This window comes from Homo sapiens, chromosome 4 (genome assembly GCF_000001405.40).
Source record: "Homo sapiens chromosome 4, GRCh38.p14 Primary Assembly".
Lineage (NCBI taxonomy): Eukaryota > Metazoa > Chordata > Mammalia > Primates > Hominidae > Homo > Homo sapiens.
This window is the reverse complement of record NC_000004.12, coordinates 82,747,246-82,764,667: the sequence shown is the minus strand read 5'-3', so window position 1 is coordinate 82,764,667 and position 17,422 is coordinate 82,747,246. Positions and strand designations below refer to the sequence as shown.

Below are 17,422 nucleotides of genomic sequence, written 5' to 3'. Positions count from 1 at the left end.
GTTTTTAGATATAAAATATTTGAAATAATTTCACAAAGGCCAAGAAGGGGGAAATGAAGTAGGTTGTTGTAAGATTCTTATATGATACATGAAGTACTATAATATTACTTGAAGGTAGATGATAATAAGTTAAAGATACATACTATGAACCCTAAAGCAACCACTAAAAACAAAGAGTTATCATTAATAAGCCAATAAAGGCAATAAAATGGAATCATGAAAAATGCTCAACTAATTCACAGAAAGCAGAAAAGGATGAAGATATGAAAAAGAACAATTAGACAAAAAGAAAATATGTAGCAAAATGATAGATTTAAACAGCCATATTAATAATAGCACCAAATGTAAATGATCTAAATCAGGGCTGTCCAATACAACTTCCTGTGATGATGCAACTGTTCTTTTTATCTGTGTTCTTTTCTACCTAGTCACATGTGGCTCTTGAGCACTTGAAATGTGGCTCGTGAACTGAATTTTTAATTTTATTAAATTAATTTAAATTTACATAGTTGTAGGAGGCTAGTGATGTAATGGACAGTAGAGTTCTAATACCCCAGTTAAAAGGCAGAGATTGTCAGATTGGTTTAAAAAGTGAGGCCCAATGATATGCTGCAAAAGAAACTCTCTTTAAACATGAAGACACAAACATTAAAAATAGGAGGATGGAAAAAGATACATCACGCAACATCAATCAAAGAAGGCTGGAGTGGCTCTATTAATATCAAAGTAGATATCAAGAGGACATAACCACTCATGTGGAGATAAAAACTTCATGCAGTCATCCTTGGGATTATATTGTTGCTGCTGGGGGCAGCTGAGGAAAAAAGGGAATTGTATTGGTTTGCTAGGGCTGCTATAACAAAATACCACAGACTAGATGGGTTAAATAAAGAGATGTGTCTCACAGTTCTGGAGGCTGGACGTCCAAGGTCAAGATGTGGGAAGGCTGGCTTGCTCGGAAGCCTCTCCTTGGCTTGCAGATGTCTGCCCTCTTCCTGCCGCTTCACGTGGTCTTTCCTCTGTTCCTGCACACCCCTGGGTTTCTCCTCTGGGTGTCCACATTTTCTCTGGGTGTCCACATTTCTCCTCTTATGATGCCAGTCAGATTGGGTGACAGTCCACCTTAACACCTAATTTTAACTTAATCACTTTTTTTTGAGACAGAGTCTCGCTTTGTCACCCAGGCTGGAGTGCAGTGGCACGATCTCCGCTCACTGCAACCTCTGCCTCCCGGATTCAAGTGATTCTCCTGCCTTAGCCTCCTGAGTAGCTGGGACTACAGGTGTGCACCACCACACCTGGCTAATTTTTGTATTTTTAGTAGAGATGGGTTTCACCATGTTGGCCAGGCTGGTCTCGAACTCCTGACCTCAGGTGGTCCACCTGCCTCAGCCTCCCAAAGTGCTGGGATTACAGATGTGAGTCACCATGCCTGGCCACGTAATCACTTCTTAAAAGGCCCTATCTCCAAATACAAAACAGTCACATTCTGAGGTACTGAGGTTAGGCTTCAGCATATGAGTTGGGTGGGAACACGGTTCAGCCCACAACAGATAGGGACATTGTCTATCACAGCTGTCCTCCCCAGGAACAGTGCCTTGGGGCTCCCGTGGTGTGCTGTAATTATTGGGCAGCAGGCTGTGCCTCTCTGACCTTAGGATGACAGTGAGGCATGGAGAGCCCTACAGAGGGGGACCAGGAAGGCGATGGGGCTGTGCTCCACCGCTCAGGAGAGTTGTGGAGGAAAGTAGAATGGGGAGGAAGGAAATCTGTGTCCACCCAGAATCCTGAGTTGCTTCTACTGTCTTTGTTGAAACTTCTGACAACACGTTCATGCCTCTCAGATATATCCTTTTTGTTAATTAAAGTGTCACTATATTTTTTTCCTTTTGAATTAATGAAAGAGAAACTCCAAATAAACAATGTTGTTTCTTCAGATACCCAGGAGAACCACTGCCTGCAAACACGGACCCTTCCTCAAACCCACCAGCTCGCTCCACCCACAACAAGTGGCCTCTTATTGTCATGGCAATATTTGTTTTTATCTAACGTGGAGGTACTAGTTCTGGCTTCACTTTGCCGAATGTTAGGAGACTGGACCTAAGTCATCAATTTAGCCCCTAGAGGCTGGATGCAATGGCTCACGCCTGTAATCCCAGCACTTTGGGAGGCCGAGGCAGGTGGATCACCTAAGGTTGGGAGTTCGAGGCCAACCTGGCCAACATGGTGAAACCTCGTCTTTACTAAAAATACAAAAATACCTGGGGTGTGCCTGCAATCCCACCTACTTGGGAGGCTGAGGCAGGAGAATCGCTTGAACCCGGGAGGTGGAGGTTGCAGTGAGCCAAGGTCACACCACTGCACACCAGCCTGGGCAACAGAGTGAGACTCCATCTAAAAAAAAAATTAGCCCCTTGAGTGTAAGGTCTCTCCTCTCCTCTCCCCCTCCCCTCCTCTCCCCCTCCCCTCCCTTCCCCTCCCCTCTCCTCTTCTTTTGAGACAGGGTCTCACTCTCACCCAGGCTGGAGTGCAGTGGCGTGATCTTGGCTCACTGCAGCCTCTACTCCCTGGGCTCAAGCGATCCTCTCACTTCTGTCCCCCATGTAGCTGGGACCACAGGCACCTACCACTACTCCTGGCTACTTTTTGTATTTTTTTGTAGAGATGGGGTCTTGCCATGTTGCCCAGGCTAGTCTCAAACTCCTGAGCTCAAGCAGTCTGCCCTCCTTGGCCTCCCAAAGTGCTGGGATTACAGGCATGAGCCACTACGCCCGGCCATGGAGTGTAAGGTTTCTAGGTGAGGTTTGAAATTTGGAAGAGAGATTAGAAACGAGGCTGGGGCTATATTCTCACTCATAGGTGGGAATTGAACAATGAGATCACATGGACACAGGAAGGGGAATATCACACTCTGGGGACTGTTGTGGGGTGGGGAGAGGGGGGAGGGATAGCATCGGGAGATATACCTAATGCTAGATGACGAGTTAGTGGGTGCAGTGCACCAGCATGGCACATGTATACATATGTAACTAACCTGCACAATGTGCACATGTACCCTAAAACTTAAAGTATAATAATAATAAAAAAAAAAGAAACGAGGCTGGGAGAAGGTGCTGTGGGAATGGAGGCTTCAGGGCCCCTGAGCTACATGAGCTGTAAAAGAAGTTAGGGTGAGTCTATAGAGCAATCTAAAACAGATGGATTTCCTGAAATCACCACTGTCTCCATGGAAACAGCTCAGCTGGCTCTATCAGTTGCTATAAAGTGTTCTCTCCTTGGTGTGGATGGAATCTTCGTGTTAGTGGAGGAAGAGGACCCAGGACAGAACATATTGGACTAAGCTTAGAAGGGAGAAGACAAGATTTGGGTTAGCTATTAGAGGCTTAGAAAGATTCTCCCAAGTGTTGAGGAGATGTCAGACGTTGCCTGCTCTAATGATTTGTATGAGAATAGTGGCAGCAGTTCCTGAAGTTGGAAGGCTTTGGTACCTTTCTTCCTGCTGCTAGACTTTGATAACCAGAGGACACCTGCCAACCTGTAATTGATTCATTTGATGAAATATTTATAGAGTACCTAGCATTGGATTCTGTCAAAAGCATCCATCATGCTGGTGAAATACATGCCCATCCCTGTGAATGTCCATTCCTTGTTTCTTGTGATAGATTTGCCACAAATAAAGGCTAATATTCTGAATTCTCCCAATGGCAAGCTGCTTATTTTCACCCACACTCTTGTTATGTGTGTGCTATGCTCAGGGCACTGTGTTAGGTGTTGAAGTTATAAAAAGGAATGAACCAGGCACAGGCCCTTCCTTGGGAAGCTGACGGTCTAGATAGGGGGATGAATTGTGGTGCGGCAAGAATGAATTGCCATACAAGGTGGCGTATGCCCCAAATTAATGGTCCAGACAATGAGCTCCACAGGAATCCAAAAGGGCAGCCTTGTTTCCAGGGATGGGGGAGGTTCTAATGGGGATCAGGCTTGAATGGGCTTGACTGAGGGCAGGACTTGGGTAAGATGGAGAGTGGTAGGGTCTTGAAAACAAGTGAGTTAGAGACCAGCCTGGGCAACATGGTGAAACCCTGTCTCTACAAAAAAATACAAAAATTAGCCGGATGTGGTGGTGCGTGTGTAGAACCAGCTACTCGGGAGGCTGAGGTGGGAGAGTCACTTGAACCTGAGAGGCAAAGATTGCAGTAGCCGAGATTGTGCCACTGCATTTCAGCCTGGGCAACAGAGAGAGATTTCGCCTCAAGACAAAATAAAACGGGTGAGAAGGAGAGTGGCAGGAGAAGAAGTGCAATGACAGGAGTGAGTGTGGGTGGCTGTTCAGGGGAAAGGAGCAGACTTATTCAGGGGAAAGGAGAAGAAGGGTTCAGGGCATGGATGGTGGAAAATCAAATCAGCAAGGGAGGGTAGGGGCTCAGGTTGTCAGGACTGTGAAGGTTAACACAGGGAGTTTAGACAATCCTTTAGGCAGTGGAGGACTGAGAAAAGTTTTAGAGCAAAGGAGGCGTGGGGTTTCTTGCAAAATAATGCTGTAGGATGCTTAATCTGGTAGCTGTGCATAGGTTGGATTGAGGGTAGGCACTAGAGACAGGGAGATGGAATGGGAAATTGCTTCAGGGGTTATGGAGGTTGAAGGAGTGGAAAGAAAGTGATGGGTAGAATGGATGGGCACCATAGATGCTGGGAAGGAACAGACTGGGACTGACTGGCTCCAGCACAAGAGGCAGAGGGAGCACATGAGGTTTGAGATTGGATCAATAGGAAAGGAATTATTACCTTTAAGAGAAGTTATGCCTACCAGGTATCAAACCCTGTGTTAAGCAAAAGGATAAGAAGGTTCTTGCCCTTAGGTAACTCATAATCTCTAGGAGAAGACAAACATGATTATAGATGCTAGGGTGGAAGGACTTACTTTGTACAATGAAGGCCCAAAGGAAGGAGTGGAGGGTAGGTAGGAGCATTTGCCAGGAAAAGGTTTACAAGAGATAACTTTTTTTTTTTTTTTTTTTTAAGACGGGGTTCTTGCTGTGTTGCCTAGGCTGGACAGGAACACCTGAAATCAAGTGGTCTGCCTGCCTTAGCTCCTGAGCAGCTGGGACTAAGTGCTGCTGCGCCCAGCTGAAATGATCCTGAGCAGAGTGTTGAGGGAGCTTGTCTGAGGGGGAAGTGTAAGTGAAGGGTCATGCTTGACTTCAAAGTTGGTTTAGGGTGAAGCAGAACATCTGACTGCCAAGCTCCCGTTGGTTCCATTTGTTGTTACGGAGGGCCGCTTGTGAAGCTGCCTGGGGCAGGAGCTCTAGGAAGAAAGAGAGGAGGTGCGCTCCCTGCCCTTGGGGAACTGCCCACATGGTGGGGAAAAAGACGGCCTTCCTCCAGCCTTCAAGATATGCAGTGCTGAGGCCCTGCATCCCGCCAGCTGCCACTGTGGCTGCCGGGAACAAGGGAGCAAGCAGAATGAACTCAATTCCCTGCTGTCATGGAGGCCACATGCTTGTGAAGAACTCACTCAGATAGAAGGCACAGTCAGGCTCAGTCGCAAAAGACAGGTTGAGGGAAGTGCTGGGGCTGTAGAGGAAAGGAACCGTGATGCGTTCTGACCCGAGATGGCCGGGAGCTGAAGAGGGGTGACCAGGGACCCGCGCAGCAGTTGCCGGTGTCAGCGGGGCGCTGGGGCGGAGGCTTGAGTCAGGGTGTGCCTCAGGATTGTAAGGGGATGTGCTTGTTGTTTCGCAGGATTGTAGGGGATGTGCTTGTTGTTTCGCGGGGGAGGCGCCTCTGCTGCTGTGACAGCTGAAGCCAGGCATGAGTGACCCTTTGTGTCGTGTGCTGTCAGTGGAGTGAGGCTGTCAGTCCTTCTTTCCTGAGCTCCGCGGGTGCCGGCCCATCTTACAGTGTCCAGCTGAACACTGATGGGACCCGGTAAGGAAGGCCCGCCCTCCCGGCCCATGCTCACAGAGCCTGTGTCCCTCACCCGCACCAAAATCCTGTCCCGCTGACCCAAAGCTTATTTCCTAGCATTACAGAGTGGGGTCTCTGAGCAGGAAATGGGTGTTCTGGGTCATATTACGTCCCTCAAATTCATATGTTTAAGTCTTAACATATGAATGTTAAGTTTCTTCCCCAGTTTCTCAGAATATGGCCTTAATGGGAAATAGGGTCTTTATGAGGAAATGAAATTAAAATGATGTCATGAGGGTGGACCCACAGAGTCTCGCTCTGTGGCTCAGGCTGGAGTGCAGGGGCACCATCACAGCTCACTGTAGCCTTGAACTCCTAGACTCAAGTGGTCCTCCTGCCTCCCAAGTATCTGGGACTACAGGTGTGCACCACCATGCCTGGCTACTTTTTTTTTGTTTTTGGAGAGACAGGGATCTTGATATATTGCCCAGTCTGGTGTTCAACTCCTGGCCTCAAGTGATCTTCCCATCTTGGCCTCCCAAAGTGTTGGGATTACAGATGTGAGACACTGCACCCCACTGGTTGTAGTGTTCTGTGGGCCTCCCCCTCTCCCAGGAGGTGAACAGCTTGCTCTGGATTCACTGTCATCCTCTGAACGTCTCCAGAGTCCTCCAGATTGTTTCTACTTATTCCTCACAGAGATGCACTCACTAACCCAGTCTCTTGGAAATGGGGTGCAATCACCCCACCAGCTGATCTGTTTTCTGTTGTTTACTTTTTTGACTTCTCCAGAGCAGCCAAATGAACATCATCTTCAAGATAATCTTGGCGTAGCCGTTAATGGATTCTGCACTGCAAAAGTGTTTGAAGCCAGTGGCTGTACTTTAAAAAAATGCATCCTGTTGGTATTTTTCATGTGTTAGGACTCTCTTTTCCTGAAGTTTATATAGGGCTTAGGATGTTCCAGGTACAAAGCTAAGGACCATATGTTATTTTGTTCATTCTTCACAATACCTCTGATGGAGGTACTAAAATCATCCCCATTTTGCAGACGAGGCTCTACAAGATAAGTGATTTGACCAAGGTCACATGGCCAGTAAGTGCGGGAGCCGGGATATGTGCCCAGCACTTTCACTCCAGAGTCCTTAACCACCTCACCCACAATAATAGATTTGGGTTTGAATACCAGTGCAGTCACTTACTAGCTGTGTGGCTTCAGGCAGTATAATTCCCGTCTCTGGATTTTGGTTTCCTCAGCTGTAAAATGCGAATAGAAAGACCTCCCTCACGGGGGCAATTCAATTCAGTTGAATTGAATGCTAGGTACTGAGGGTCTAAAGAGATGAGCCCCACCCTTAAGGCCCACAGGGTCTCATTGTGTTTGGGTGAGTGTGAAATGCACAGGGCTATGGGAACCCAGGGTGAAGAGCCCTCCTGGGTTCGGGGTCCTGGGAAGCCATCTGAAGGAGATGATGACTGGATCAAGACCTAAAGGACTTTTCCACAGAAGAACCACACAGACAAAGGCATAGAACTTTGCAACAGCAGGATGGAGATGAATTGCAACTCAGGGTAACCAGAGAGTGACGGGAAAGGAGATGGGAGAGGAGAGACTGAAAGCGAGGATGGAGAGAGGGTGGGGAAGGCTCCTTATGTGTCACACTAAGAAGTTTGGGTTTTCCCTCTGTGGAAGGTGAGGTGCCATGGAAGGGTTTTGAGAATGGGAGTGGGATCACATGTAGTGGCTCACGCCTATAATCCCAGCACTTTGAGAGGTCAAGGTGGGAGGATTACTTGAGCCCAGGAGGCAGAGGCTGTGGTGAGCCAAGATTGCGCCACAACACTCCAGCCTGGGTGACAGAGGGAGATCCTCTCTCAACAACAACAACAGTTTGGTTTCATGTCTTGATATGCAGTGTGGGTGGCTCTATGGAGGATGGATTTGAGGGGGGCAAGACTACAGACAAGGAGACCAAGGAGGGAGATGTTGTGTTGGTTCTAGTGAGAGATGGTGAGGGCGGCTACAAGTAGGAAAGAGCATGGAATGGAGAGGACTTTGAACTTGACAGGTCCTGATAATTGCATGGACGGGGGGAGGGGGGTGGGGGAGGAACAGTCTTAGCTAATGCTGCCTCAGCTTCCCGAGTAACTGGGATTACAGGTGCACACCACCACACCTGGCTAATTTTGTATTTTTAGTAGAGATGGGGTTTCACCATGTTGGCCAGGCTGGTCTTGAACTCCTGACCTCAAGTGATCCACCTGCCTCAGCCTCCCAAAGTGCTGGGATTACAGGCGTGAGCCACCTTGCCCAGCCTAAAGAGGTTTTATAGATAAGAAAGTTGAGGCATAGAGAGGCTAAGTGACTTGGCTGAATGGCACATGGCTAGCAAGTAACCAACTGGGACTCACAGCCGTGTAGTTTAACTCCAGCGCCTGCTCTCATCATCACTGTGCCATGCCTGTCCTGACTGGTCCAGGAGGGCAGGAGAGGGGGTCTCGATGACCCACCATCCCCACCACTGCTGCCACCAGCAGGAATTTTACTTGGGTGACCGAGTGGGTGATGGTGCCATTGACTGATGATTCTAGAAGGGAGTGGAGAGAGATGCTGGTTTCCATATTACACCTGCTTAGTGTGATGTGCCTGTGGACACCCAGAGGAGGAAGGCATCTCAGGCTGTGCCCTTCCTCCTGGAGCCTCTTGTCACTGAGCCACAGGGCCTCTACACCAACACTAAATCACTATACTGCTTTCCATTTAGATGACAATTTGATTTAAACAAATTCTGGTGGTGCAGGGTCAAAATTTTTCATAATCTGAAGTGATTTTTCTCTGTTTCCAGTCCACTGACTGGATGGCAGATTAAAATGTGAGGGTTTGACAAAAAGATAATGGAGCCGTGCCAGCCTTTAGTGTTTCAGGCATAAAATTAAATTCAACATGGTATCATGCATTTGAAGACTTGTCATCATAAGGCTGGCCAGACAAATATGCTTTAGAGGGTTTGGTTTTGAGAATGAGTAGGAGAAATAAAATATGAAATATGATAATAGTGGAGACTAGACGTATTTTGAAAAACATTATCTGATGGTGTTAAGCCATCCTTTTTGAGCGCATTGTTTAATGCTGCCTTCTTTTCTGCCTGTTTGACCAAGGGACTCTGAAGTGTTGGACAGGTTCCACTACTGAAATATGCAAATTTAACATTCCCTCTCCCCACATCTACACCACCCCTTTCTTTCTTTCTTTTCTGTTTTTTGAGACAGTCTTGCTCTGTCGCCCAGGCTGGAGTGCAGTGGTGTGATCTCAGCTCACTGCAACCTCCGCCTCCCAGGTTCAAATGATTCCCCTGCCTCAGCCTCCCAAGTAGCTGGAATTACAGGCGTGTGCCACCATGCCTAGTTAATTTTTGTATTTTTAGTAGACACTGGGTTTTGCCATGTTGGCCAGGCTGGTCTCAAACTCCTGGCCTCAGGTGATCTGCCTGCCTCAGCCTCCCAAAGTGCTGGGATTACAGGCATGAGCCACCATGCCTGGCCCCTTTCTTTCATCTCTCCTAATTTTTTCGACATTCTCCTACCCATTTTCTCCTTTCCTGGGCCTTCAATTTGTGCCCACCTCCACCCCCATCCTCACCCCCCATCTTCTTGTTAGCTGCATAGTTTGGTCTGGCTATAGACTTTCCAAGTTCTGAAGGTAAAACTGACATCAAGTTCTTCCCATCTGGTCTACTGAGTGCACCCTGCAACCTTAGCCTAGGCACTTTGGCACCTTCTGTTTTAGCGGCTGTCTCTGTCCATGGTGGGCTTGGTGTCTTGTTGCTTCTGTTCCTCTGAGTGAAGTGTTCAAAGCCTCAGACTCCTGAGGCTCAGCTCTGTGCCCTGGCCTTCGAGGCTTGTCACTTCTGCCGATATAAGAAGTGAAATATAGGTCAGCCTCACAGATCCCAGTGTTAAAAATAAAAGCTTCATCCCCAGGCTCTGCAGGTCTGTAGATTGGCATGGGTTCCCCCACTTTCCAGCAACCACTCTTCTAAATTGCTTCTTGGAGCTTAGTACTGATGCCATCCGCTATGCAAGAGGGAACCTGAAAATAGAAGAGGAGCTGAGATCGTCTCCCTTGGCAAATGCCATTCCAAAATGTGAAGATTGCCTGAATGGAAATTGTAAATAGCAGCACTGAGCAGGTTTCCTCCCTGTCGGGTTAGGAGGGTGGGCTGCTGGTGAGGGGAGGGTGGGTCCTGGGGGGAGCCTGGAAGGAGTCCCTCTCCCTCTTAGGACCACCCAGACCCCTCCTGTGGCAGCCAAGTGACCACGCACTGAGATTCCTAAGTATTTTGATGAAAGGACTTCTCCTCCCTCTCTCTGCTTTCCCATTCTTAGTCCTTGCATTTGAGCTTTCTCAGAAGATTTAGCTGCTTTTCTGTGATATGAAAACTGAGGAGGTTGAAAAGCAGGGCCTTTGAATTTATTTTTAGTATCTGCACATTTCTCTCTTCCTGCATTCTCTCACTTTCTTCTCTCCCTTCTCCTTTCTCTTCTGATTTCCCGCTTTCTCTCCCTGCACTGTCATTCTCTTTTGCCCTTCTTAACTCCTGCAAAACGGGGAGATAAGTTTTCCTCCACATAAGAAGCCAGGGCCTCTGAGAAGCTTGTCTTTGAACAGATGCCTCAGCCTTGCCCCTTTCTCAGGTCTCATTTTTCGGGCGAGTCTGTGCTTGACAAGAGACTGCGTTATCTTGTGGGAGGACCCTAAGGAGCCAGGGTACTTGACATTTAAAGCTTTTCATAAACAGTGTCTTCAGTGCTTGGCAAACCTTGAACCCTCCCAGCTGGCAGCAACGAGGCTTTCTCATCAGGACTGGCTCAGCCTCGGATGTGACATTTTCCCAGGGCCTCAAGGAAATGGAATACGCCCTGTCTGCCTTTTAATCCCTCTCAGTTGGATTTTCATAGACTTCTGTCAGGGGGGTATGTGCTGGCTGCTTTTCCTATAAACTGGAGTCAGGGGAAAAGGGGAAGATGGCTGAGGGGGGAGGCAAATATGGATGCATTTAATACACATTTGGCAGGTCAAGCAGAAATATCATTGGTTACATAGTTTTTTGATGCTATCCTCCAGGCCAAATTAAATGACTTCTTTGGGAGTAGAGAAGGGCTTAAAAACAGTGATTTGGGTGACACCCTATGAACATTCTAACCTGAAACCCTTCCCCGCAGGTGACTCAGCCCACAAAGAGCCACACTCCTGGCAGATGTGGGAAATGGACACTATCACTGTCAGAGTCCACCCGCGTGACTCTGGGGCGCACTGCTTTGTGCCTTTAAATTCAGCCCTGCCACTGGCTTATGTCATGACCTTGGGCTACTCAGGCTGTCTGCACAATGAGCCAGTTGGACAGGAGCAGTGCCACTCAACTCTGGCCATACACAGAACCCCCCACCCCCACCCCAGGGAGCTTTTAACACACATAGCCATCTAGAGAATGTGGATTAATTTGGTCTCAGGTGAGGCTTGGGTGGCTGTAAAAGCTCCCCAGGTAACTCTCACATGAAGTAGGTGAGACATGCTCCCTAGACACATGTCTCTCAAACTGGAATGTGCACAGGAATCACATAGGATCTTGCTAAAATGCAGACTCCAGTCCTGTGGTTTTCAGTGGGGCTGGGGATTCTTCTCTTCCCATGTGCTCCTGGGCAAACTGATGGTGTGGGTCCCCAGAACACACTCTGCACAGCCAAAGTCTGGATGGTCTTTAAGGTCCCTGCAGTTCCTTACTGAGTTTTCTTGGTGAGGAGAGGGCAGGGAATTAAGTAAAAGATATATTTTAATGGTAGCAAAGAGGACCTCCCTTTTATCACTGGGGTAAAGTCATGTCATTTTTGGGAAAATGTGATGCAGTATTTGGTGGGTAGGATTCAATTTGTATCCATTTTCAACACTGGAGTAAGTTTATTTAGGGGGAAAAAGGGAAACAGATGTAGCTGTGTGTGTGAAGAATGGGGAAGAGAGAGAAGCGTGAAAGAACTGAGTGGATGTGTGTGTGCTCACAGGGCGAGGATTCCATGCAAACAAATACATAGGCTTCTCCAGGTCCAGTTTTGGTGAGGGGACAGGAAAAGGGACAGATATTGTTCAGCTGGGATTTAAGGTGAAGATCATGCTCCCTGGAACAACCCAAAGGCTGGAAGATTCCATCTCCTCAGCCCCATCTCTTTCTGGTGCTAAGCAGCCATTTGTTCCAATTATCCTTGAATTATAGTGACAGCTTTTGGTTTATGCAGGCCTTCAAATCATCCTAACCTAGTAGAAGAAGTAAAATGATGCCTTTATTGACAAGAACATTTCAGCTGGCTGGTTTTAAAAGACTCTCTTCTTCCCACCTATTCCCACGTCCCTGTGCTTCCACCTCACTAAGAGCCACAGACACCATTTTGGAGTGTCAAGATCTTGCCTGATTTTGCATATATATATATATATATAATTTTTTAAAATTCAAGGTCAACCTTGAGAGATATTGCTTGTATTCTGCCTTCTGTTTTCCCTAATCCTTATAGAACTACAAATTCCCATACATGAGCAGATTTTCCTGGTTTAAAATTATATTTAACTAAAGTTAAATACTTCAGGCCTTGTGATGGTGATTCTCCTGCCCACAGACTTATGGGGATTTCTTTTGCTTTAAAGCAGGTCTTTAACAGGGCAGTATTTCTTGCTAAAATCCACAATCCAGGGTTTTGTCACTGTTCTATTTTTAGAAATTCTTCCAATTTGTAGTCTAAAGGAGAGGAATGTTTTTCTAACAAAGATATTTTCCAATCTAGAGAAAAGAGGCTGGGCGTGGTGGCTCACGCCTGTAATCCCAGCACTTTGGGAGGCGGAAACTGGCAGATCACAAGGTCAGGAGATCAAGACCAGCCTGGCCAACATGGTGAAACCCCATCTCTTCTAAAAATACAAAAATCAGCTTGGCGTAGTGGCGCGTGCCTGTAATCCCAGCTACTCGGTAGGCTGAGGCAGGAGAATTGCTTGAACCAGGGAGTCAAAGGTTGCAGTGCGCGGAGATTGCACCAGTGCACTCCAGCCTGGTGACAGAACAAGACTCCGTCTCAAAAAAATAACTAACTAACTAAATAAAAGTAAAAGATTCAAAAGATTTTAAAGTTATTAATCCTTGTGCTCTGAAACAGACATTTATAACTTTAAAACAGCATATATAGGGACCTTACCTCCCTGACTGATGTACATAGGATTTGGCTTTTCTCAGTCCTAAGAGATTTAAAGATTTAGTGAAACATAAAGAACATATTTTAAGCAATATCAATATGCAGGCCCAATGTAAATGTCCCCATGAATGTCGAATGCAAGTAGTTAGTCCTCAAACTCCTCTTCTCTTAGCCGGGTATGGTGGTGCATGCCTGTAGTCCTAGCTACTAAGGAGGCTGATGTGGGAGGATTGCTTGAGGCCAGGAGTTAGAGGCTGCAGTGAGCTATGATCACGCCACTGCACTCCAGCCTGAGCGACAGAGTGAGACTCTGTCTCTAAAATACAAGTTAAATGAAAAACTCCTGTTCTGTGTCACACATTTGTTGATTTTGCTCATTTATTTATTCCACCGATACTTATTATGGGCTTATTGTATGCTTTATGATGGGTTTACACAGCTCTTTGTGAAGCCCTGAAGATACCATGGAAAACAAAAACAGACCTTGTTCTCATGAAATTTGAAGACTGGGGAGGAAGACATAGTCACAGAGGTTAATATGTAAGTGCTGTGAGAGGAGGGAACACGGATCTAAGAGCATATAACCAAGAAACCAGCCTAGCCTGGGCTGACTTGCTGAATGTTTCACTAGTTGGGGAACTCTGGGAAAGGTAAGTTCTTTGGCATTTGCTGCCCAAGGTTTAGAGGAACTCTGTGCTAGAGAGCCCTTGGCAAACAACTTCACTTTGGCCTTAAACATGAGATTCACTACCTGTAAAATGGACTTCTGAGTCCTCCCTACCTGTCCACCTAGCAGACCGTTTCGTCAGAGCTTCCTCTTCTCCAACAGTGCTTTCTTTTAAACAGACATAATGAACTGCCTTTTGGTTTCATGACTTTTTTTTTTTTTTGCTACAAGCAGCTCTCTTGTGGCTGGCAAAAGTAAAGCCATATTCTCGAGGACTCAAAAGACTCTCCATGGCTTCCCTGGATCTTGAAGAACATTTTTTCTCCAAGTAATTTTATTAGCCTGGGTGGACACTTGCAGTCAGTGTCACCATTACATTCTTAATCTTTACAAAGTGTGCTTATTTGCTTCTAATTTTGAATGTCTTTTTATTCCCTTTACTTCTTGCATGTGTGAAGAAGTAATTGTTACACAGATGTTTTGGAGATAGTGTTTGGTCCTGTGTTACTCCTGCAGGGTGTAGGTAGCTCCTCCTTGTTCTCAGTCTGTCGACTCAGCTACTTTAAACACAGAGGATGGGGAGATGGATCTCAAAGTTATCAATGTGGAAGACCATGTCTGTAAGTGCCCCGGCCCTCCCAATGGCCATCCCATGCCAACTCTGGCTCTCAGCCACCTTACTTGATAATATTAATGAAAGCAAATATTTTTGTGGGCAGACTGTGTGCGATCCATTGAGTTGTGTACTTTATGGACTATTTTGTGTAATCCCCACTACAATTGTTCACAGTAAATCCTCTTAATATTCCCACTTTTCCAGATAAGGAAATCAAGGCACAGGGAAGTAACTTGCTACAGTTATACAGCTAATAAACGTAGAGCTGGGATTTGAACCCATGAAGTCTGATTCCAGAGTTCCTACCCTTAGCCACTATACTTAACATTGCCTCTGAAATAAATATAATATGTGCTTGGGGTATAAAGCCCAGTCATTTCAAATAAATAACTCCCAAATCAGCATGAGACTAAAGTTGACAGCTTTAAACAGCATATAGTTCTTTAATGACTTCTAAAGCAATGATTTCTAATGTGTTAGTATCACAACTGTCCTTCAACATGAATCTGTGAAATAGTTGGATGATTTAGAGTGAAGTTGTATAATGTTGGTATTTGAGACTATTTCTCTGAGTCTAGTTTCACGATATGGTTTCTGTCCACCAAGTGGGATGTGTGTTTTTGTAATATGAAGACACTGAGCTGTTTCTAAGAAGGAAACATTGCCTGTTTGGCCCAACTTGTGTTGTTATTTACTTTTCTATTTATGTAAATGTTTTACTTTCTTAAATAGTAAAGGAGTGAAGGATGTGCCATCCCAAAATATCCCAAATTGGTATATTCATTATTTTGATCTAAAAACATTGGAGAAATTGTAGTTTTAAGAGAAGCCTAGCTGGCCTGTATTTTCCTGCCTGTAGCAAGCCATAAAGATTCTTTTGGAAGGGGTGCTTTTTCCCTACCAGGGTGAGAGACTATTCCTTATCACCCCGGACTGGGATTTGGTGTTGCAACAGGCCTGAATAAATAGACTTTCTGAAGTAACCACTATATTCCACTAGCTTTACACCCTCCATATATCTCCTAGCGACTCCCTAGAGTTTACTCTCTATCCAGAGCCCCTTGTCATTTCTTCACAAATTTATCATTCTTTGTCTCAGAAGTATAAAACTAGCTTGCCTTGGCCACTTCTTTGAACTTTGCTGTCTTGTGAAGAGCCTCATGTACAAGTAAAACTAATAAAAACTTGTATGCTTTTCTCGTTAACCTGCCCTGTGTCAGGCTGGTTCCTAGACCTAGTCGAATTGCCCCCATAAGAGCTCAGGGGAGGCGGAGGCTATCTTTTCCTCCCACACAGTAGACTGTAAGCTGCTTGAAAATGGTGTCATTTAGTGACTCATGCACTGTAGAGAAGAATACTTATTGGTGATGGTGGTGACGAAGATAGAGCCACTGCTGTCTCTTTCCCCTGGCCTTTTCCACTGAAGTTCAGAGTACATTACTGGATGCCCCACTAAACTGGACCAGTTCTGCAGTCTACTGATAAATGCAGCAAATTGCATTCTTTGTTTCTCCCCATTTTGTTTTCTTCTTCCCCTAACCTCGGTAAACTCACTTGTACCATTTCTTGGGCCTCAGAGTAGGTTAGGACCGTCCATAGTGGGTAACCATCTGCAGACTTAAGAACATACTCTTTAATTCCACTTTTCTGGAGTAATAAAGATGCTTTGCAACTTTTTTGCCCTTGTGCCTCAGGGATTGCAGCAGATGTGTTAAGTCTCAGCTGGGCAGGTGTTAAGACTAAACACCATTGCCCATTGATTATTTAAACTTAACGTTTAAATTCCTGGCATGCTTGGCTTGGCTAAGTAGAAATAGACACAGCTGAATGTGACGTCCTCATCCAGCTGGTCCAAAGAAACACTGGGTAGAAATAATGAAGGTTCTTTTGAGTGTCCCCTCCCCCTCCTCTCCCCCGTGCCCTGTGCTTGCTCAAAGTCAAGGCATGCCTAGGCCTGAGTCTATCAATTCTCCCAGGGGCAAGTGTTTCCCTCTTGTTTCTGGACAATGGATGGGCCCTTTTCATCGTTTCCCTTTCCCTGCTTTGACTCTGTCTAGATTCTACTTCCCATTTAAGACTTGAAATTAATTATTTCTCTTTTAGGTTAAAATGGGCTCAAGGAACTGATTAAATTCCTCCCAGCCCTAAGTCCTCTGCTCTTCTGTGGGACTACTGCTTCATACAGCAACATGAACAAAAGCTTTCACTTAAATCCCCAAGTAATTCATTTTTTTCCTCAGCAGTAATCTTCCTGCCTTCCACAATTGATTGAATTTGTCCTTTTTGAGAATAGCTCAACTGTGGTCTCAAAGATCAGCTCTTCCTCTCTCTCTTCCTGATTCCATAGGTCTGAATTGCAGCCTTTCTGTGGCTGCTGGTTTCCTTGTTTTAACCCTACTATTCCAAGCTTTTGCCCCCTATGGTTCTTGTTTTCTCCTAGTGCCAGTGGCAGGAATGAAGTACCATGGGAAATCCTTTTATAGAAAGAGAGGTGCAAAGACAGTTGGCCAATGGCGTATTGATGGCTGCCTGGTCTGCTGATCGTAATCCATAATGTTTGCAATTATAGGAAGCCTTGCAAGGGCTGGCATAACAAAAATGACAGCTGGTATCTGTTTGATCACTTACTGTGTGCCAGCCACAATTTTAAATACCTTAATAAACAGCTCATTTAATCTTCACAAAATCCTGTGAGGAAGCTACGGTTATCACCCCCATTTTATATAAGAGAAACGTAAGTGAGGTTTGGAGAAGTTAAGTAGTTAATATGTGGTAGAGCTGGAATTTAGACCCAATGGGTCTTGTTCTAAAACCTTTGTAGCAGTGGGTAAGAGAAAGGGATGAGCTTTGGAGCCAGGGAGTCTGTGTGAGCTCTGGCTCTAACATTTATTAACTGTGAGACTCAGGCAGGCTTTAACCTTCCCAAGTGCCAGTTTCCTCATTTGCATTTCTAATGAATATCATCTATCCCTCAGAGTGATTGTAATAAGCATGGTTATAAA

At 45.8% G+C, this 17,422-nt stretch overlaps 1 protein-coding gene and 1 non-coding gene across 3 annotated transcripts in view; both read left to right on the top strand.

The window, feature by feature from the left end:
* The window catches only part of SCD5 (stearoyl-CoA desaturase 5), a 169,258-nt gene that overhangs the window by 34,129 nt on the left and 117,707 nt on the right, over positions 1-17,422 (top strand). The gene's annotated exons all lie outside the window — the stretch shown is intronic.
* MIR575 (microRNA 575) lies at positions 11,238-11,331 on the top strand. Its single transcript, NR_030301.1, has one exon. It is a non-coding gene; the product is annotated as a microRNA 575 (primary transcript).